The 23,064-nt window shown below is 37.6% G+C and overlaps 1 protein-coding gene across 43 annotated transcripts in view; it reads left to right on the top strand.

The window, feature by feature from the left end:
• Window positions 1-23,064, top strand: part of KTN1 (kinectin 1) — a 104,378-nt gene that overhangs the window by 33,373 nt on the left and 47,941 nt on the right. For 42 of the 43 annotated variants that reach the window (NR_073128.1, NR_073129.2, NR_175289.1 and 39 more), the window contains 8 exons: window positions 2,938-3,075; window positions 4,385-4,555; window positions 5,603-5,733; window positions 14,333-14,449; window positions 16,378-16,518; window positions 19,656-19,762; window positions 20,947-21,079; window positions 22,870-22,957. Coding sequence is in view for 33 of the 43 variants with exons in the window: in NM_001402686.1 (NP_001389615.1) it covers window positions 2,938-3,075; window positions 4,385-4,555; window positions 5,603-5,733; window positions 14,333-14,449; window positions 16,378-16,518; window positions 19,656-19,762; window positions 20,947-21,079; window positions 22,870-22,957 (1,026 nt within the window). In the remaining 10 variants the exon portion in view is untranslated. The remainder of the gene's footprint in view (window positions 1-2,937; window positions 3,076-4,384; window positions 4,556-5,602; window positions 5,734-14,332; window positions 14,450-16,377; window positions 16,519-19,655; window positions 19,763-20,946; window positions 21,080-22,869; window positions 22,958-23,064) is intronic. The other variant, NM_001402711.1, reaches the window with a different exon arrangement.

Raw genomic sequence — 23,064 nt, forward strand, 5'->3', positions numbered from 1 at the left:
GCTGCCCAAGTTCAAGTGATTCTCCTGCCTCAGCCTCCCGAGTAGCTGGAATTATAGGCGTGTATTTTTAGTAGAGATGGGGTTTCACAATATTGGCCAGAGTGGTCTCGAACTCCTGACCTCAAATGATCCGCCTGCCTTGGCCTCACAAAGTGCTGAAATTACAGGCGTGAGCCACCACGCTTGACCCGGTTGTATTGGATTTTAAATATTTGCATGTCAGCTAGGATCAAGGCATAGTAAGAACTACATGTTTTAGTTGGGGAAAAGGACACGTAAGCCAGTAAAAAAAATGTGGTTTATGTAGGAGATAGAGAAAGTATAGAGGAAATATAGAAGCTAAAGCAACTACTGCTTATGCTGGGCTGAAAGGCTTTACAGGGGAGGCAGTTCCTGAGCATTGAATCGCTTCATCAAGCAGATAGTGGGGTCTCATTACTCATTGGCAGAATATCATGTAAAGGCACAGAGCTGCAAGAGTACAGTGTATTATTGAGCCATACAACGTGAGGTATAGAGAGTGGTAGGGAACAGAGCTGAAAAGATAGCAGTGGCTAGATCATGGTGGTTTTTGGATACTGTGCCAGGGAGCTAGGACTTCTTAGGTTAGCCATTGTTGAAGATTTTCAAGCAGTTTAGTTACATGGTCATATTTCTGTTTTAGAAAGATTTTTTTGGCAGAGCTAGCAAGAACAGATTTCATGGGGCAGTATTTGATGCCGGCAGACTAGTTAAGAGGTTATTTTAGTTTTCTAAAATTAAGATGTAGGCCTGAACTATGGTAGTGACAGAAGAAACAAAGTTGAGAAGTATGCAAAGTAAGAATGACACGAATAACCTCACTATATAGAGGTGTGGCAGATAAAGGAGAAGATAGGATTAAAGCTGATCTCCCAAGTTCTGAGTTAGGTTGGGGTTGGCAAACTGCAACCTGTGAGCCGCATGTAGCCCACTTCCTTTTTTTATGCCCATGAACCAAGAACACTTTTTGCATTTTAAATGGTTGGGAAATAGAATAATATTTTGAGAAATGTAAAAATGTAAAAAAAAGTCAAAATCTCAGTACTCATAAAGTGTTTTTATATGCAGCTACATTCATTCACTCATTCATAATATGTTTATGACTGGCTTTCATGCTGCAGTGGCAGACTTGAATAGTTGTACCAGAGACCATATGTCCTATAAGGTCTAAAGTTTTTACTACGTGGCCCTTTGCAGAAAAAGTTTGCCAACTTGTGCTTGGCAGATGGTTGGTAGCACTAAAATAGGTAATACTGGAGAGAGACTAGATGTGAATTGAGAAGAGAACACTTCCAGTTTGTGTTTCCAATGCCTGTGGGGCCATCTACGTAGAGCAACTCAGGATGCAGTAGGGTATGTAAATGTAGAAAAGTAGATTCAGAAGCCTTAAGCGTGAAGGTAGTAGAAGGCATGGGAGTAGATAGCTCATCCAAGGGAAGTATTTTAATTGAAGCCCCAACCCTGAGAACAAGCAGTATTCAGTAGAAGCAGTTCCCAAAGGATACCGCAAAGGAATATTTCAAGTGTAAGAAGAGAATTATCATGGGAACTGATAGGAGATAATTTATTTTATTTATTTTTATTGTGGCAAATTACAGCATGAAATTTACTATTTTAACAACTTTTAAGTGTGTAGTTTTGTGGTGGTAAGTACATTCACATTCTTATATAATCATCACCACTAGCCAAGTCCAGAACTCTTTCATCTTTTCCAAATGAAACTCTGTACGCATTATACACTAATTCCCCATTCTGCCTGCCTCCCCCTTTTCCCCCGTCCCTCCCCCTTCCCCCATATCTTGACAATTACCCTTCTACTTTCTGTCTTTATGAATTTGACTACTCTGGGAATGTCATATAAGTGAAATTATACGATATTTATCTTTTTGTCACTGCCATATTTTACTTAGCATAATGGAGAGGAGATAATTTTAAGAAAGGGGTAGAGACCAAAAGTATAAAATGCCAAAGAGTAGTCAAATAAGGAGTAATGAGTATTTGTAGAATATGGCATTTGGGACACTGGGGGATCTGAGTTAATCCTTTCGTGGAATGAAAGAGATAAAAATCAGGTTGCAATTAGCTGAGGAATGATTGGTAGAAAAGGAACTAAGAGTATTTTGTCAATATGTAAGGAAATGGATGTGGGATGCTGGGAATTATGGTGATGGGGAAGGGTTTTCTCTTCCTTCCCTTCCCTTCCTTCTTTTCCTTCCTTTCCTTCCCTTCCCTTCCTTCTTTTCCTTCCTTTCCTTCCCTTTCTTTCTTCCTTTTCTTCTTTCTTTCTCTCTTTCTCTCTCTCTTTTCTTTCTTCTTTCTTTCCTTTTTCTTTCGACAGGGTCTTGCTCTGTTGCTGAGGCTCGAGTGAATGGTGTGATCTTGGCTCACTGCACCTTCGACCTCCGGGGCTCAAGCTATCCTCCCACCTCAGCCCCAGAGTAGCTGGAACTACAGGTGTGCGCCACCACACCTGGCTAATTTTTTTTATTTTTTTCGTAGAGATGGAGTTTTGTAGAGATGAGGTTTCACCACTTTGCCCAGGTTGGTCTGGAACTCCTGGGTTCAAGTGATACTCCTGGGTTCAAGTGATCCACCTGCCTCAGCCTCCCAAAGTGCTGGGATTACAGGTGTGAGCAGCTGCACCTTGCTGTTTATTTTTTAAGATGATAGAGACTTGATCATGCCTATAGGCTCAGTAGGGTTGAAAATAGCTGAGGAATGGGAAAGGAGGAGTAAGTACATTGAAGAGCTGGTGTAGTGGAGTAAGAAAGCTAGAAAAAGTTATTGGTGAGAGCGTTATATGTCAGACTTTAAATTTTTAGTGGTAAAACATTCTGGGAATTACTCAGTGATTGCATCTTTTCCGTTATGTTCATTGTTTGCCACAATTATTTTTTTTGTTTGTGTTTAATAAAGATGACCAGGATAAAAAGGTGGAAACTCTCATGGTACCATCAAAAAGGCAAGAAGCATTGCCCCTCCACCAAGAGACTAAACAAGAAAGTGGATCAGGGAAGAAGAAAGCTTCATCAAAGAAACAAAAGACAGAAAATGGTGAGATGTTTAGATATGTATTTTTATAATGCTAATTCTAGAGAAGTACACCAGCACAAGGACCCTGGAATCTCACACGCTCTTTAGCTCCCAGTTTAATGTGTGCTAATGACAACTGTAATACTAATGCAGGTCTAAAATTATCTTTAGCCTTATGACTTTATAGCGCTTTGACAGATGGGCAGGGTGTACATTTGAGATGAAAAAGTTTATATACCATTTACAAAGGGCAAAGCATTTATAAATATTCTTAACTCAGTTTTGAAAAAATAAATAGCATACAGACCATAGAAGAAAAACATTCTTGAAATTTTGTGCTTTTTAATATCACTTAAAGGTAATGCTTAAGGACATTAGCTAGATCTGGCATTAGCTTACATTTCCAATTAATTCCTAAACAGAACTCACATGTGTATATGGCAAGCATCAGATTATAAGAGATGGAGCAATCTTATTTGTTCACAGTTTTCCAGGGAAAGCTTGGCTGTGAAATTTGTGAAGACTAAACAACTTAAAATTATGACATATCAATTAGGTATGAGAGAAATATTACCTGAATATATTTGTTAAAATTAAATGTTAAACAATTTTAAATAAAAGAAGAGACATATATAAGTAAAGAAGCTCTTTTTGAAAGGTAGGAATGAAAAGAAAAGAGATTTTCATCTGGGTGTGGAAGTTTGTATCTCTAACCAGCAGACATTAGGCTTGATGTTCAAACTCTTCAAATTCTTCCCATTAAAATTAGGAACAAAATAAAGAGGCTTCCTTCTTCCACTTTTAATGTATTTTGGAAGTTTTAGCAAGTGTAGATGTGCCATGGAAATTAGAGGCATAACTCTTCAGAAATGAGAAGCTATCTGCAAGGAGCACTGTGGTTTTTGCACTTAGCAAGTACAAAGAACTTGTTTAAAAATTATCAACTACAGTAAGTTGGTAAAGTACCAACATAAATAAAAACTAATAGTTTTCCTTGAGCACTAATTAAGTGGAAATAATTCTTATATTAAAACAAAAATTAAAGGAGACTTAAGGATGCATAAAAAGTTTTTAGATACCATTAGAGGAGATATGCTATACACTTTTAGATGATTTAAATGATTTACTATAAAATAAGACTGTTGAGCTGGTACGGCTTCATTAGAATGAGTGTTTTGACTTGTTAAATGACGAAATAGGAATTTAAAACCAATTTGAGCTACCAGTAAATGTTTCAAAAGAACTGCATTTATCATTAAATTATGCTTGCATGTCATTTACTCTGTTTTGTAAAAATTCTAATTATGATTTTGTTGAACTTAAATTGCAGTCTTCGTAGATGAACCCCTTATTCATGCAACTACTTATATTCCTTTGATGGATAATGCTGACTCAAGTCCTGTGGTAGATAAGAGAGAGGTTATTGATTTGCTTAAACCTGACCAAGTAGAAGGGATCCAGAAATCTGGGACTAAAAAACTGAAGACCGAAACTGACAAAGGTAATATATGGGATTTATAGTCTTTGTTGTACTATAAAAACACATTTCTGAGTTCTGATGGAGTCATAGATTTCATTTTCTCATAGAAACAATGCATTTCAAAAGAATCAAATCCTTGTGGTAGAAGACTTATTGGTAGTCTTTTAGTCCAGCCTCCTCAGTTTTGTAGATCTGGAACTTGAATTTGACTTTTTAAAGGTCCTACAGCTATTTTGCTATCTGATGATTATTTCCCAGCTACTACTGTCTCCTGTGAGGTTTCTTGGCTAATTCATAACTGTTGTTTTTTTTTAATAGACTGTTTTTTTTAGAGTAGTTTTAGGTTCACAGCAAAATTCATTGGAAAGTTCAGAGTTCCCACATATCCCCTGTTTCCACATAAGTACACAACTACCTTTTAAAACTTATAATTTAGCTGAAGTATTAAAAGCCCGAGGCTCCTTTGAGTCTGATGGGTGGCAGCTCTTTTTAAGAAGAGGTTGTTAATGCCTAATACGAGAACCTTGGGAAAATAAGGGTGGGTGGGTCAGGAGGTGCTTGATGCATGGATTTTTAAAATGTCAGGATGGTTTGCATATATTTGATCTTCATAGAATCAGATTTCCTTTTTACAATTATCTTAGAACTTATTTTCTCATGTGTGGAATTTGGCTTAATATCTCTCAGGATTATTTTGTTTTTCACAGTTGGTTGTCAGTGTGCAAGGATTATTAAAGTTCATTGAGATTATTGTGAATATAATAGTGCAGATATTAGCACATACTAGACACCTAAGTGATTTTTTTTTAAAGTGAGGGTATATTGGCATTTTAGTATTTTGCAGTTTGAGCAAACTTTTAGCTAATGTAATTATTCCGTATTATAGATGATAAACCCTTTTTTTCCTCTTGACTGGAGTATTTGTTTTATTTAACCTGAAGTATATATCTGTTTTCTTTCGGTTATTGACTTTCTGGGCCGTGAATTCTTCATGCTTACCTTTGCTGAAGTTATTATTTGTGTTTTTTAAATGCCAACTCTTTGTTTGTTTGTTTTTTTCAAATTAAGAAAATGCTGAAGTGAAGTTTAAAGATTTTCTTCTGTCCTTGAAGACTATGATGTTTTCTGAAGATGAGGCTCTTTGTGTTGTAGACTTGCTAAAGGAGAAGTCTGGTGTAATACAAGATGCTTTAAAGAAGGTAAGCGTGTTTTTTGATTATGGGCATATTCATGACCAGTCATTAGAAGTTCACCAAACAAGACTTTAGCCAGAGCAATTAATATCTACTCCCATCCTTAACATCTCAGAACATACATCTGGAATGCCTTCAGAAATTACTTTATATATCGTATTAGTCTGTTTTCATGCCGCTGATAAAGAGATACCCGAGACTGGGTAATTTATAAAGAAAAAGAGTTTAAATGGCTCACAGTTCTACGTGGCTGGGGAGGCCTCACAATCATAGTGGAAGGTGAAAGGCACGTCTTATATGGTGGCAGGGAAGAGGGAATGAGAATCAAGCGAAAGGGGTTTCCTCTTATAAAACCATCAGACCTTGTAAGGCTTATTTACTACCACAAGAATAATATGGGGGAAATTGCCCCCATGATTCAATTATGTCCCACCAGGTCCCTCCCACAACACATGGGAATTATGGGAGCTACAATTCAGGATGAGATTTGGGTGGGGACACAGCCAAACCATAACATTCCACTCCAGACCCTCCCAAATCTCATGTCCTCACATTTCAAAACCAATCATGCCCTCCTACTGGTCCCCCAAAGTCTTAACTAATTTCATCATTAATTCAAAAGTCCACAGTCCAAAGTCTCATCCGAGACAAGGCAAGTCCCTTCCGCCTATGAGCCTGTAAAATCAGAAGCAACTTAGTTACCTCCTAGATACAGTGGTAGGCATTGGGTAAATACAGCCACTCCAAATGGGAGAAATTGGCCAAAATAAAAGGGCTACAGGCCCCATACAAATCTGAAATCCAGTGGGGCAGTCAAATCTTAAAGCTCCAATATGATCTCCTTTGACTCCATGTCTCACATCCACGTCATGCTGTTTCAAGAGGTGGATTCCCATGGTCTTGGGCAGCTCCGCCCCTGTGGCTTTACAGGGTACAGCCTCCTTTCTGGCTGCTTTCATGGGCTGGCGTTGAGGGTCTGTGGCTTTTCCAGGCTCACAGTACAAGCTGTCAGTGGCTCTACCATTCTGGGATCTGGAGGATGGTGGCCCTCTTCTCACAGCTCCACTGGGCAGTGCTTCAGTGGGGACTTAGTGTGTAGGTTTCAACCTCACATTTCCCTTCCTCACTACCCTAGCAGAGGTTCTCCATGAGGGCCCCACCCCTGTGGCAAACTTCTGCCTGGACATCCAGGTGTTTCCATACATCCTCTGAAATCTAGGCAGAGGTTTCCCAAAACTCAAATCTTGACTTCTGTGCACCCACAGGTTCAACACTACGTTGAAGCTGCTAAGGCTTGGGGCTTGTACCCTCTGAAGCCATGGCCCATGCTGTACCTTGGTTTCTTTTATCCATGCCTAGAGTGGCTGGGTTGCAGGACACCAAGTCCCTAGGCTACATACAGCAGGGGGGCCCTGGGCCCTGCTCAGGAAACCATTTTTTCTTCCTAGGTCTCCAGCCCATGATAGGAGGGCCCTTCTGCAAAGGTCTTTGACATGCTCTGGAGACATTTTCTCCATTGTTTTGGTGATTTACATTTGGTTCCTCATTACTTATGCAAATTTCTGCAGCTGGCTTGAATTTCTCCTCAGAAAGTGGGATTTTCTTTTCTATGGCATCATCAGGCTGCAAATTTTCCAAACTTTATTCTCTGTTTCCCTCTTAAAACTGAATGCTGTTAATAGCACCCAGGTCACCTCTTGAATGCTTTGCTGCTTAGAAATTTCTTCCGCCAGAGACCCTAAATCATCTCCCTCAAGTCTCCCTCAGATCTCTAGGACAGGTGCATAATGCCACCAGTCTCTTTGCTAAAACATAGCAAGAGTCGCCTTTACTCCATTTCCCAACATGTTCCTCATCTCCATCTGAGATGACCTCATCCTGGATTTCATTGCTGGTATCATCATCAGCATTTTGGTCAAAGCTATTCAGCAAGTCTCTAGGAAGTTCTAAACTTTCCCACATCTTCCTGTCTTCTTCTGAGCCCTCCAAACTGTTCCAGCTCTGCCTGTTACCCAGTTGTAAAGTCACATCCACATTTTCGGGTATCTTTACAGCAGTTCCTCACTCCTGGTACCAATTTAGTGTATTAGTCTATTTTCACGTTGCTGATAAAGACATACCTGAGACTGGTAATTTATAAAGAAAAAGGGGTTTAATGGACTCACAGTTTCATGTGGCTGGCCTCACAATCATGGTAGAAGGTGAAAGGCATGTCTTACATGGCAGCAGGGAAGAGGGAATGAGAACCAAATGAAAGGGATTTTCCCTTTTAAAACCCTCAGATCTTGTGAGACTTATTCACGACCAGGAAAACAGTATGGGGGAAACTGCCTTCATGATTCAATTATCTCCCACCGAGCCTCTCCCACGGCACGTGGGAATTATAGGAGCTACAATTCAAGATGAGATTTGGGTGGGTACACAGCCAAACCATATCATATATTCACACTAATCAATTCACTTATTTAAAATGTCATCTGTTGTCATCTGATCCTTTGACAGAGCCAATTGCTTAAAATAAGTAAGATGATTTATATTACTTTTTTTTTTTTTTTTTTTTGAGACAGAGTCTTGCTCTGTTGCCCAGGCTGGAGTGCAGTGGCGTGATCTCGGCTCACTGCAACCTCTGCCTCCTGGGTTGAAGTGATTCTGCTGCCTCAGCTTCCAGAGTAGCTGGGATTACAGGCATGCACCACCATGCCTGGCTAATTTTTGTATTTTTAGTAGAGATGGGGTTTCACCGTGTTAGCCAGGATGGTCTCGATCTCCTGACCTCATGATCCGCCTGCCTCGGCCTCCCAAAGTGCTGGGATTACAGGTGTGAGCCACCGTGCCCGGCCAGATTTATATTACTTTTAAAGTCATTTGGCCCTTGGCTAAACTGTACCGTGCTTTGCTCTGACTAGAAGTGCTAAAGTCAAAGTCAGGTGATTTCTGGATAGCATGTATGAACGGTTTTTGTGACTGAAGATCACACCGTTCAAAGAACCTCAGGACTATTGTTGTGGGGGGGATGTGTGTGTTGTGTTTGTAATAGTACTCTTCTAAAAGAAATGATTTGAATGGCATAATCACTGCTATGGCTGATGTTTTAAAAAAATTGTAAAATAAAAACCCCATGCAGCCAACATCTATATTCTTATGGGTCATATTCACTATAATATCATATGTACTATGTCATACTGGGAAAGGTGACAAATTTTCAAGGGTTACCTATGTAAAATAAAGTGATATGTTGTCTGCTATTCAATATTAGATGGTGCATTTAACTGTCTTTATTCTAAAAACACACACATGCACACCTTTCCCCATAACCTCTTGCCTACTTTCAAACCTTCAGTGGTTTAATTTTTTCTTATACTAGTCTAGACCATGACCTTTCACCTGATTACCTACAGTAGTCTCCAGATTGATGTTTCTGCTTTTCCTCTTAGTCCTCTAATTTTGTTTTTTTCCCACATAACTGTAAAGTGACCTTTAAGAGATAAATTGTTATATTACTGCTTTAAAAACCCTTTGGTGTTTTTCTCTTTTGTAGTTAAAACATAAATCCAGATTCCTTAACAGGTCTATGTCCTGCCTCTCTCTGCAGCCTCATCTAATGACATTTTTTCTTATTCCCTCACCAAATTTCACCCATATGGAGTCTTCTCTGGTTCTTCTGTCATACCAGACTTGTTTCTTCTGTCTGTCCTATCTCCCCTTTCCTCCCAAACCCTCCCTTCCAATTTCTTTCTATGCCCACTTCCTCCTTCAAGTCTCCACTTAAATGTCATTTTCTCATATAAGGCTAACCTGAATTCACAGTCTAAATTGTTTGCCCTGCTATTCTTTCTTACAACCGTCTGGATGTTTTTGCCACAGCATTTATCATAGCACTATAAGTCTGTCATACTTCTGTTGACAGTGCATTTTATAAATCTGTGGCAATTTTACAATGTAGTATGCTTGTTAGTTTCCGTGTGATGCCAGCAATGGCCCAGAGTAAAAAGGTAATCAGTAAATATGATAAATGTGACTTTAAATACAAAGACAGATGCTTTATTGCAAGGAACTTTCTTGATTATTTTTATTTTTGTTTTTATTTTTTTGAGATGGGGTCTGGCCCTGTCACCCAGGCTGGAGTGCTGTGGCGCAATCTCTGCTCACCGTAGCCTTCAACTCTCGGGCTCAAGCGATCCCTCCATCTCACCCTCCTGAGGAACTGGGACCACAGGCAATGCCTGGCTAGTTTTTGTATTTTTTGTAGAGATGGGGTTTCACTGTGTTGCCTATGCTGGTTTCAAGGTCCTGAGCTCAATCAGTCGTCCTGCCTTGGCCTCCCAAAGTGCTAGGATTACAGGTGTGAGCCACGGCTCCTAGCCTTGATATTGATTAAAGAATTTGTCCTTCGGTTTATTTTATTGTAATTGGGTGAGTAAATACTTAAAAAAGTTGTTAGTTATATGTGGGGATTGGGAAAAGCTCCTAGCAGGGAAGAACCTTGCTGAAGTTACTATGTTACTATATTGCTGTTTAGAGTTAATGCTTTTTAAGATTAAAAGTAATTGCTTTAAGTGTCTCTCTTCTAATGAAAGATGTTGCTGGTAGCTTATGGGGGCAAGAGTAATCATTTTATTGTCTGAGACAGCTTTCAACTCTAGAGTCTGGGTGGTAAATCAGACTACCCTTTATCTATTTTAGGCAGGCCTTGGAAGAAGTTGGAAACTATTAAAGATAGCATGGAGCAAGTGTTTTGAAACTGTTCACATTTTTCCCCTTTTCCTTGGAGCCATTTGGTTTTAGATTAAAATCTTATTGTTCTTGGTTTCTCATGGGGCGGTTCTGTTCTCTACTGAAGGAACTCTGCCTTTGTAGGTCTCCTGAATCTGAGTAAGACTAGGTAAGTTGAATTTCTCCTTTTTCCTGCCAGAACTGAGTTGGTCAGAGCTTTTCACAGACTGTTCGAAGTCGCAGAGGTAATTGAATCCTTGTGCTGAATAAAGACGACTTTAGAGCAAGGGGGAAGATAAATACAGGGCACTGGCATAGGATAGGATTTTTTGAGCAGTTGTATGTAGTGGCTAAAGAAGAGTCCATGGTGACTGCTTGTTTTCTTTCTTGAGTAACTGGATAGATTGTGGTGACAGTGGTTTTTGTGAACACTTTGTAGAGAGTAGAGGATTGAGAAATTTCAGAAAGCTGTTTTAGGCATCCCTTGTGCCATTTAAGTGGATATAGTCATTTTACAATTAACATATTTCTCTGGAGTAGAAGAAAGGCTACAATGGGAGTGATTGAGGAAGATAATCCACTATCAACAGTACATATGGTAGATGTATATTAGATCAGGGAGGATGTGAGAGGTGATAGAAGGCTCAAGAATGAACCCCAGGAAACACCAACAATGAAAGGGCAAGGAAAATCACCATGAAAGATACTGAAGAGGAGCGAAGTGGTGGGAGGAACACCAGGAGGTAGTGGAATCACAGAAACTTTGAGTTTGGGAAGTAGGGAGCTTGGGGGAATGATCAACAGTAACATGCTTTAGAGATGTCAAGGAGGATTAAGATTGTAAAACTGGGTTTGATATCCTTAGTAAAAGCAGTTTCATTGCAGTACAAGACTATAAATAAGTACCAAATGAATGGGAAAAGTGACAGCGAGTGTCCGCTACGAGTAAGCTTAGGTGGGAAGGGGAAAACAGCAAAAGCTAGAAGGGTTGGAGCAGGGATGTTATGTTGTGTGAGTGCACACATGCCCTTGTATTCGAGTTATGAGGCACTTGAGAGTGTGGTTAAGATCCTGAGCTCTGGAGTCAGACTTCCCAAATTCCAGTCTGGACTCTGCCACTTGCAGCTTTGTGGCCTTAGATAAGTTACTTAGCTTCAGTGACTCAGTTTTCCCATGGCTAAAATGGGAATGATCAAGTTTTGAGAATTAAATGCTAGTGCATGTTAGGTGCTATAAATAGCATATAATAACTGCTGAAAAGTGTAAACTATTATTGTAATTATTAGTAAGAAAATGTTTAATTATTAATTTTTTATCATTGACCTTTAAATATACTTGCTTCAGTTATATTTTAAACTTTAAATTATTAACAATTTGGGCCCCATGCTGTGTAGCAGGAGGAACTACTGTTATACCACTTAAATTTTTTTCCTAGCTTCTTTCTTCCACCAGTCTCAACTTTCATTAATAATAGTTTTTCTGTTTGTCAGATACTTGTAATATTTAACATCTTTTCTGTGATTATAATTTTCATGTTTTAGTTTTAATTTTATAGTTTAATGGTGGGTCCAGATCTCAATGTTAGTACTTTTGTCATAGCTTCTTTATTCATCTCTTGGTTAGCTGAAGTTGTTTTTCCTGGGATTTTGTCAAAAAATTTTCGAAATTTTGGCAAGTTAACATGCTTTTCTTGTATTTGTACTCAAATAATAGTTTGGTGGGGTATAACATTCCAGAATTTCATTTTTTTTTCCTTGAAACATTTTATGCATTTGTTGTTTCACTGTTCTCTTTATTCATATTGCTGGTAGAGGTCTGACGCCAGCCTGCATTTTGCACCCTTTTCATGTATTTTTGTTAAACTGCACTCTCACAATAAAACATTCTTTGAATAATCAATCACGTGTTTATTATTTACTGGATTTTTTTCAGTGTCTGACCTACTCTACACACATCAAGGGATTCAATTTCTTTGGCATTCAGTAATTGTACTATAATATGGCTTGACATTGACTGCTCTGTTAAACTTCCCTTGGACACAGTATGCCTTTTCAGTCATTAGATTCAAGTTAGCTTTTATTACTGGGAAGTTATATATAATGTTCTTGAAATAAGTAAAATAATGGAGATCAGTTAAATACATATGGGCTCTCCACTGCCTACCTTCGTTGTCTTTTCATATCTTTAACAAAAAAAAAAACCCTAACACATAACCAAAGAAAACTTTATTTCTACTTTTTATTTATTTCTCTTCACCATTGTCTCTATGGCTCTTACTGTGTTTACAGCGGCATGTGCTTTTCTGTTTGCTGCTTCCAACTGTAGTATTATTTCTGGGATGGTGTTGCTTTTGCTTCCACTTTAGTTTTGCCAGCTCACGTTTCATCTCGTTTTGTGTTATCTTTTCTCTGAGCTCTTTTATTTTCCAGAGATGATTACTATATTAGATTTTTAACCACAGTTTTTTCCTGCTGTGTGATAACCTTTTTCTGGTGATTTTTCTTCACTTGTTATTTGTGTTTTTCTTATTTTCATTTTTTGGTATCGTGTATAGATCCTGTTTTGTTTTGTTTTGTTTTGTTTCATTTTATTTACTACTACTGTTCTTCCAATGAGGGGTGTTTTTCTTGGATCATCTTTGTGCTAGAGCTTGGTGTTGTTGAAGGGTCAGGGATGGCTGGTGTTCTCCTTGGGGACTGTGTATGTAAAATGATTTTTTTAGCCTTTGCTGCTTTTCAGATAAGAGGCTTAGGGTCTCCCTGTAGAGAATCTTTTGACTGCCTCACTGGCTAGTTGCTCCCTTTGAGTGATGTTTTTCCTCTTGAGATGTGGGATTTTATCTGCAACTTTTTTTTTCTTTTCCTTCTTGAGACCTTCTTCCAAGAAAGTTCCTGCTTGCAATCTTTGCACTTGTTTGTTGTTTCCCATGTCAAGTTGGGGATGGCTGGTTTTACCTTTCAGGATGTGCCTGTTAATTTCAGAGAACTACACATCTATGGCACCTCTGTAGCCATGGGTATATTCTGACAGGGTCGTGGAGCATCTGAATTTGATCTTTACTATATTTGGTGGTCTTTCCTTATATGCTTTGAGATTACAGGTTACTGTCATTCATAGCAGCTTACATTTTGGTTTCATATTCTCTCTTTTGATCTAGCAGGAGAAGGAGGAAATTACTGTCTTGACTCTGAGTTTAAAACTGGAATTCCTGTAGTTCTTCGTAAAAATCTGTTCCTTGGTTGATATGTATCTAGTTGGAAATTTCAGGATACACAACATTAAAGAGATTTTTCTGAATATTTCACTGATCAGTATTTGGCAGTTATTTTACTTTTTATGTAGTACAGAACTCTGCATTGACCCAAGAACACTTGATGTTAGATACTTCATTTTCATAATTTTTTTTTAATCTTAGCACCTTTTATTTTTTATTTTATTTATTTATTTTTCTTATACTTTAAGTTCTGGGATACATGTGCAGAACGTGCAGGTTTGTTACATAGGTATACACATGCCGTGGTGGTTTGCTGCACCCATCAACCTGTCATCTACATTAGGTATTTCTCCTAATGCTATCCCTCCCCTATTCCCCCACGCCCCGACAGGCATGTTGCCCTTCCTGTGTCCATGTTCCCCTTCCTGTGTCCATGTGTTCTCATTGTTCAACTCCCACTTATGAGTGAGAACATGCAGTGTTTGGTTTTCTGTTCTGGTGTTCGTTTGCTGAGAATGATGGTTTCCAGCTTCATCCACGTCCCTGCAAAGGACATGAACTCATTCTTTTTTATGGCTGCATAGTATTCCATGGTGTATATGTGCCACATTTCATTTTCATAATTTTTATTAGCCCATGGTAACTATTACTAATTCTGCATTGCTTTCTCAATTGCAGTCAAGTAAGGGAGAATTGACTACGCTTATACATCAGCTTCAAGAAAAGGACAAGTTACTCGCTGCTGTGAAGGAAGATGCTGCTGCTACAAAGGATCGGTGTAAGCAGTTAACCCAGGTGAAGACATTCTTATGTACGAGGGATATACTTCCCAAATCAGAAGCAACAAAAGATTTTAGAAATTGTCCATAATCAGTAGTTTAATTATTTGTAATTTATGTCCAACAAAAGTAACTTTCCTTTAGAGTTTTGGGAGGGTAGATAGAGCTGTCTCTCTCTTTTGTGATATTATAGCCTATAGTTGAATTATTTAAAATAAGAGTACTTACAGATATCCTAGCTTCAGAATAACAAAAGCACTCTGTACAGAAGCATGGGAATTTGTTTTAATTGGATCTGACCTAGATCTGTTCTCAATAGAAACACAGAATTTGGTGTGATCTTGTTTAAGTCTGATTAATGGAATAAGTGTGAAACTCTTAACATAGGTAATTTATTTATGGAGCTTCTTGTGATAAGTATAATTTTTTGTCAAGTTCTTCACATCTCAGAAATTTTACTTTGAGAGGTTAATAGTAAAAAATACCAGAAAAGCCAATCTTTAAAACATCATGAAACTGAGAGAACAGAATTGAAACTATAGAAAATATGGTTTAATTATTCCTGAAGTGCTTGTTTCTCTTTCTAGGGATTAAATGCAGTAGAATACATGATGTTTATTTATGAGTCATTCACCTAGCCACTTGATGACATTGTAAGAGTGAATGGCTTTGTTTGAATATAAATCCTTTATGTGAATTTGAAGTAAATAAAAAAAGTCAATGGAAAAAGTTGGCAAGATTAATTAAAGTTGTTAATAAAATTAGAAACTTTAACATAGTTTTTTGTGACTATATGACTATATAAAAAATTAAAAATTAGGATAACTAATTTGATAATTCATTGAGCCGCATACTTATGATGTGTATACTTCTAAGTATGTTATACAGGAGTATAACAATTTGTAAAGATGAATGAACAAACTCAGGCAGCCATAAATTATGTAATATCTCAAATTTTGTCATACAATTGCTTTAGAGCAGGAACATGATTAGTCCTAATGATACCTGCAGCTAACTTTAAAATTGCTTGGCTTTCATGTACTTTGATAATTAATATTTGTTCTAGGAGTTCATAGTACCGGCAAAACAAAATGAAATCCCTCATTTAAGATTTGACTTAGTGGCCGGGCGCAGTGGCTCATGCCTGTAATCCCAGCACTTTGGGAGGCTGAGGCGGGTGAATCATGAGGTCAGGAGATCGAGACCATCTTGGCTAACAGGGTGAAACCCCGTCTCTAATAAAAATACAAAAAAAATTAGCCGGGCATGGTGGTGGGTGCCTGTAGTCTCAACTACTCGGGAGGCTGAGGCAGGAGAATGGTGTGAATCTGGGAGGCGGAGCTTGTAGTGAGCCGAGATCACGCCACTGCTCTCCAGCCTGGGCGATGGAGTGAGACTCCGTCTCAAAAAAAAAAAAAAAAAAAAAAAGATTTGACTTAGGAAGATGATAAAACTTTGCTTTCTGAATTTGCTTTCCCTTGTTTCAAACTTTGACTCTGCTATAGACATCTTATCCCTATTTTTTTCCCTTAGGAAAGAGAATTATTTCCTTCTAGGCCTTTTTTCCCTGAAAGAGAACGTGTACCTGGGAATGATAGAGAATGAACTGTTGTGCTTTAAAATGTTCTTTCGTGTAATCAAGTTAGAATGTAGGATTTATTCTAGGTTCATAGTCTTTAACTCATAATAAACTAGAAAGTGCATTTGAATTAAGAGTAAACAACAGTGGCAAAGTGTTTATGAAGGGAATTGGCGTGAAGAGCAGATGAGATGCAGAAGACTGTTTTTAAAATCTTTTGACCTTGCTTTTTTTAAGCAAGTACTTAATGTTTTATCATTCATGATTATTTTACTGATGTTAAATAACATCATTGTTTATCATTGTTGCAGGCTTATGATACTTATTAAATAACAAGTTTTTAAATTTCTGGGATATTCTTTTAGGAAATGATGACAGAGAAAGAAAGAAGCAATGTGGTTATAACAAGGATGAAAGATCGAATTGGAACATTAGAAAAGGAACATAATGTATTTCAAAACAAAATACATGTCAGTTATCAAGAGACTCAACAGATGCAGATGAAGGTATATTTTCATTCTTTGGAAACAAGATGAAATGGTTGCATTCACTTTATTAGCAAACTTTTAAGTGGCTAGTATGTACAAGGCCCTTTCTTGGGCCATCAACATACAGTGGCTAGTGAAGTTCACTCTGCGTCCTAAGTAAAACAACTTTTCTAGGTGGGGATGAGGTAGGGAGGCCGGATGCAGATAAATATGATGATAGAGATAAGTATTGGCGACTTTAGAGCAATGGTGATGGGAGGTAAGGAAGAAAAGGATTTGATAGGGAAGACTTTTTAGAAGTGATATGCAGACTGTGTTAAATCTTTTAAATCAATTAGGCATTATCAAGTAAGAGAGTAAAGAAATGGGCACTGAGGATAAGAGTTACTTGGTGTGATTTCTTAGTCCATCTCTGGAGGTGATAGTTCAGTGGGTATATTTTGGGACCCAGGACTGAGCTTTTTAATGAGTGCACTCCAGGTGTTACCAGTACAGATTGTCTAGAGTAACTGCTCTATGAGAAATACAGTAAGAGTTGTGGTATTTGGTAATGAGGGCTGGAATGAAGAAGGGATATTGAGAAGTAGATAGAGGCCCCATCTTAAAGGGCCTTGTATACCTGAAGACTGGGGAGCCAGTGAAGGAGTTTAAGCAACGCAGCAGTCGCTGGAATTATACTACTATTTTAAATTTTCACCTTGGTAGCAGTGGGGAAAGTGGAGCAAGGGATAGTTGGAACACTTTGCTAGAATTCAAGTCAAAGAACAAGGGCCTGAAATTAGATGTTGACAATGAGAGAATGAGTTTGAGTATACAAAGAGTTAGTTAGATAGGGCTTGGTGTTAGTGTGAAGGGGAGAGGTGATAGTGAAGAATGACTTCCAAGGTTTTGGCCTGAGTGATTTTGTCTGTTGTTGCTTCCTACCCTTTCACCTGTCTTCTGTCAGAAGGCTCAGTTTTTACAGTCTGTCTTTTGTATATATTTTCCATTTTCATGATTCTAGTTAGGACTAGACCAGTGAATTTTTTTTTTCTTATTTTTGAAAAGATTGAAATATCTTTATTACTGCTAAAGAGGTTATTGAAGAATATGGCTTGAGTCTGCTTGCTTGGTGGTCATGTAATACCTTCCTTAATTTAACTTTCTTGACCAGTGACTTTTTGAAATTGTTACTTCCATCTGCTGGCTGATCCTTCAATTTGGAAGGTCTGTCATTACCTCAGATTTAATATATGTCTAAAACTCACCTATTGATAAGGTTGATATATATATATATATATATATATATATGTATTTTTTTTCAGGCCAATCATGAGCAATGATGTTTTTAATATTTTGAGGCATTATTATCTTTATGCTTGAATCCTGTGACTTTTCTCTGCCTGGCTTAGGCTACAATTTGTTCTGAAATCTTAAAGACACTTTATTTCTATGGCTAGGTGCCGTGGCTCATGTCTGTAATCCCAGCCGAGGTGGGAGGATCACTTGAACCCAGGAATTTGAGAACAGCCTGGGCAACATAGTGGGACCCCATTCTATAAAAAAATTAAAAAGTTTGCCAGGCATGGTGGCATGCCCATGGTCCCAATTACTCAGGAGGCTGAGGTGGGAGGCTTGAGCCTGGAAGGATGAGGTTGCAGTGAGCCATGATCACACTATTGCACTGCAGCCTGGGTGACAGGGTGAGACCCTGTCTCAAAAAACAAAAAACTCCAAACCTCTTTATTTCTAGTTACTCTTGCATTCAATTCTTAGACATGTCTTTAGTTTATTATTACATACTGGGATAATTATGGCTGATATTAATAGGTTTGTCATTTTCATTCCGTCTTGTATTTGGTACCAGATTTTTTTTTGGTAAAATATTGCTTTGATAATATCGCTAGTCTGCTAAAAATTTTAAAATATTCTTTGCTGCTTTCAGAGTCCCAGTGTTTTCCTCTGAAATGCCACTAATAGCAAAAAAGAAGTGAATGATGCTGTTTTCATGTTCTTACCCTATCCACTGCTTTTAGCATTTGTTTAACTCATTCCTTCATCTTCTCATCCCCCAGCAATTTGAGTTAGTGAAGAACTGATTTTCCTAGCCTCAAGTGATCTTTTCTTCTTAATTCCTAATTCCTGTTAATTTGAAAATTAGGCAGATACTTGTAGCAGCATCTTTTGTTGAAGGTGAAAGGTATTTAAGTGATTCATCCTGTTTTACTTGATTACTTACAGAGGTCAGGATATAGATTCCATATGATAACTTCTGTGAAAAATAGAAATGTATACCTTAATTTCCCTTAATAAGCAACAGTTTCTTTTGAAAGAATTATTAATAAGATTATTTCATACAAAAACATGTTCTTATGAGAATATAAGAGTCAGTGTGCCTTTATCTTTAGATTCTTTAATCCAAAATTTAAAAATTAGAAGAAGAAAGTTAGAGTGGTGGTCGCCAGGGGCTGCAGGGAGAGGAATGGGAGTTATTCGTTAAAAGGTGTAGAAGGTGTTTTACACAATGAAGAGAGTTATGGAGAGATGAATGGTGGTCATGATTACACAGCATTATGGATATATTTAATACCAGTGAACTGTATACTTGAAAATGGTTAGAATGGTACGTTTTATGTTATATGTATTTTATAATGTAAAAACTTGGAAAAAAAATTAAGAGGTCAGAATATTTTAGCAAGCAGGTTTTTGTGTTATCTATATGATTATGGCCCAATTTGTAACTTAATATAAAGTGTACCAAACATATTTTCAGTTTTTAAACTTTGGCTTACTAAAGACTTTAAGAATATTGCTAATGTATAATTGACATAAGATCAGGACAAGCTTAATTTTGTATGAATCTATTCGGTAGGAAAGAAATCCTAAATCATATTTAGTTCTGAAACATCATCTCTAAGCATGTTTATCTTGTATTTCAAATATGATAGCAGCTAGCATCTACTTGTATTCTTGAATGTGGTGACAGTTTGTATTTGATTTGCATTCATCACTAACAAAATATAATTCTTTTAAATTTGTTTATATTTATTTGAGAAGAATGATTCAAACTTCATTCTATTGATGTTTTTTATATTCTCATTTTAATAAAGTTTATTTTAAAAGTTAGCTTTGACAGTCTTTGTTTTCTAAGTTTTATGTGTGTAAAATAATTTTAGTTTCAGCAAGTTCGTGAGCAGATGGAGGCAGAGATAGCTCACTTGAAGCAGGAAAATGGTATACTGAGAGATGCAGTCAGCAACACTACAAATCAACTGGAAAGCAAGTATGTTTCCAAATACCTTATTTTTTAATTGAATGGCAGAGTATTTTCTTGAATCATCAAAATATTAATAGCGTTTGATAGTAATTGGTTAGACTTTTGTGTTTTTACATTTGTTTCTAAAATGAGTTACTTTTAAAAACAATTCTCTTTTGCTTTGTGAAGAACTTCTTCAGTTATACATATGTAAACTATGTTATATTAATGTCATACTATTATATACTTATACAAATACATTAATATATATCATATATTACATATTTATATAAACATGTATGTGTATATTGTATATAAACTATGTAATAAATACTAGTACCACCAATGGAATGGTCTACAAGCTTATGAGTTTATAAGTTTTAAACCATCTGTCCCCTTTCACAGTAGCTCCCAAACTTCAGTGTTCTGAAGAACACCTGGCATTCTAATTAAAAGGTGTATTCTTGAGTCCTCCCCTTAAAAGATTATGATTCACTGACTCTGAGGTAGAGCCCAGGAGTCTACATATTAAGACACTTTCGGGCCGGGTGTGGTGGTTCATGCCTGTAATCCTGGCACTTTGGGAGGCCGAGGCAGGCGGATCACCTGAGGTCAGGAGTTCGAGACCAGCCTGGCCAACGTGGTGAAACCCCTGTCTCTACTAAAAATACAAAAATTAGCTGGGCTTGGTGGCACACACCTGTAATCTCAGCTACTCGGGAGACAGGAGAATCGCTTGAACCTGGGAGGTAGAGGTTGCAGTGAGCCCAGATTGTGCCACTGTACTCCAGCCTGGGTGACAGAGTCACACTCCGTCTCAAAAAAAAAAGACACTTTCCTTGTGATAGTGATTGGCTCTGAGGCCATACTTTGAGAAATAGTACCTTAGAGAGACTAGTAATACCGGTACACAGTACCCTGACTGGCTGATTTTTAATACGTTTTCAGAAGACCAGTTTGAAGGTGACACTATTTATGGTCATCCATTTTTCTTGATATTTTACAGTGATTTTAGAATTTGAATAACTCATTAGAATTATATAGGAATTATACAACTAAACTTTATTGTTAGTAGTCACTTGTGTTCTGTTTCAGTTGGGCTGTAAATGGAACTACTAGCTCAGCTCAGCAAAACTAACAAAGTATGTTTTGTTTATTTCTTATATATATTTGTAATAACGGAAGGCTCCTAATCCAGTTACTGTTTTCAGGCAGTCTGCAGAACTAAATAAACTACGCCAGGATTATGCTAGGTTGGTGAATGAGCTGACTGAGAAAACAGGAAAGCTACAGCAAGAGGAAGTCCAAAAGAAGAATGCTGAGCAAGCAGCTACTCAGTTGAAGGTGATATATTCTCACCTTTATTTGTCATTTCATGAATAATATAGGCGTATTAGTTCGTTTTCATACTGGTATGAAGAACTGCCCGAGACTGGGTAAATTTTTAAGGAAAGAGGTTTAATTGACTCACGGTTCAACATGGCTGGGGAGGCCTCAGGAAACTTACAATCATGGCAGAAGGTGAAGAAGCAGCAAAGCATCTTCTTCACGAAGCAGCAGGAAGGAGAAATGCCGAGCGAGGGGGAAGACTCCCTTATAAAACCATTAGATCTTGTGAGATCTCACTATTACAAGAACAGCATGGGGGAAACCATGCCTATGATTCAGTTACCTCCACGTGGTCTCTCCCTTGACACGTGGAGATTATGGGGATTACAATTCGAGATGAGGTTTGGGTGGGGACACAATGCCTAACCATATCAGTAGGTATTTAATTTGATGACTTAAATGTGTATATAGGTTTGAAAAATATAGTTTGAAGCTTAATGGGACCTGTAGTCTAAATGCTATGCCCTGATGAAAGAAAAAGAAGCATGTGCCCTATTGAAAGAATTGAATATAGGCTTGAATTTGAAGTTAAAGACCGTTTGAAGATATGGTAAATGATGTTAGCTGATTGACAGATATAAATTGTAGAATTTTATCATATATATGGGGGTTAGGGTCTACAGTATAGGGCAGAAATCATGTAGTTAAAAATTACCCTTAATACCACTTTATCACCCATAGCTTGGATTTTTCAGTAGGTCCAGCAGAACCTAGTTTTCTTTCAGCACTGGAATAGGTAGTTTTTCCTTTGCTTCAGCACAAGACTAAGTAGTGTTCCAGTGGCTTGCACTCGACCCATGATGTACAAAAAGTCACATACTGTATCTTTAGACGCCAGAGTGTCACTTGGTCCAGTGAGATGCTTATACTATGAAGAGATGCATGGCTTTGCTCAGGCTGACTGAGGGAGGAGCAGATTCATTTATCTCATTTTATATGCATTCTGAAGCATATGTACATTGAATAGAATGATGAGTATAATTCTCTATTCCTGCTTTTATTGAAGAGGAAATTTGTTGAAAGTATAGTTCAATTTGTGTAAGTTAAATGCTACCTCATTATAATAGATTCCTACCTAGGTCATTGATAGAATTGTACTTTGATACCAGTTCCAGAGTAGGAGTTAAAAAGGCTTCAAGAGTAATTGAGTATGGAAAATAGTGTTTTTCTTAAGTCTTGTTGGGAGATTGATATAAGTATCCTTTCTTTTATTTAATATTGATCTTGCTGGTGGGTTTACTACTGGCATAGATACGGAAGTCTGTTCTCTGTGGATATGGATAAATAAATGACATTAAAGATTATAGTCATGATTGGAGTGTTGTGTTATAAAAATACCTCAAAATAAGAATTTTTAGCTACTTAGATTTAGCAATAAAGACACCATCCTGTCCTTCGGAAGCTTATCAGCTAAAGGAAGGTTAGTGGGAAACAGGTTATTGCTAAGTGGATCAGATGTATATAGTAGTAGCTATCTTGATAGAAACTCAGCACAAATATTGAGTCTGAAATAATCTCCAAACTGTAAACCCTGTAATGTTGGAGGATAGGATGGCTATGGCTGATAAATAAATGGCTTTTAGACTGTGTGTATCTGCTTGTCTTATTGAAATGTAGGAGACTAGTTGCAATAAGCAGTTTTATGATACAACAGTAAAGGTAGAGGATGCTTTTTTTCCCTCTTTTTCAAAGTAGAAATTCTGTGTTTGTGCTAATTTATCCTTTCTCCCTTTTAAAATACCAAGGTTCAACTACAAGAAGCTGAGAGAAGGTGGGAAGAAGTTCAGAGCTACATCAGGAAGAGAACAGCGGAACATGAGGCAGCACAGCAAGGTAAGGGGAAGAAGTATTCATGTAAACTTTGTATATAATTTTGGGTAAAATTTCCTCTCTCTTCCATCTGTGAAGAAAGTATAATTTGGCATTTTGGTTATAGCTCA

Source organism: Homo sapiens, chromosome 14, assembly GCF_000001405.40.
Source record: "Homo sapiens chromosome 14, GRCh38.p14 Primary Assembly".
Taxonomy (NCBI): Eukaryota; Metazoa; Chordata; class Mammalia; order Primates; family Hominidae; genus Homo; species Homo sapiens.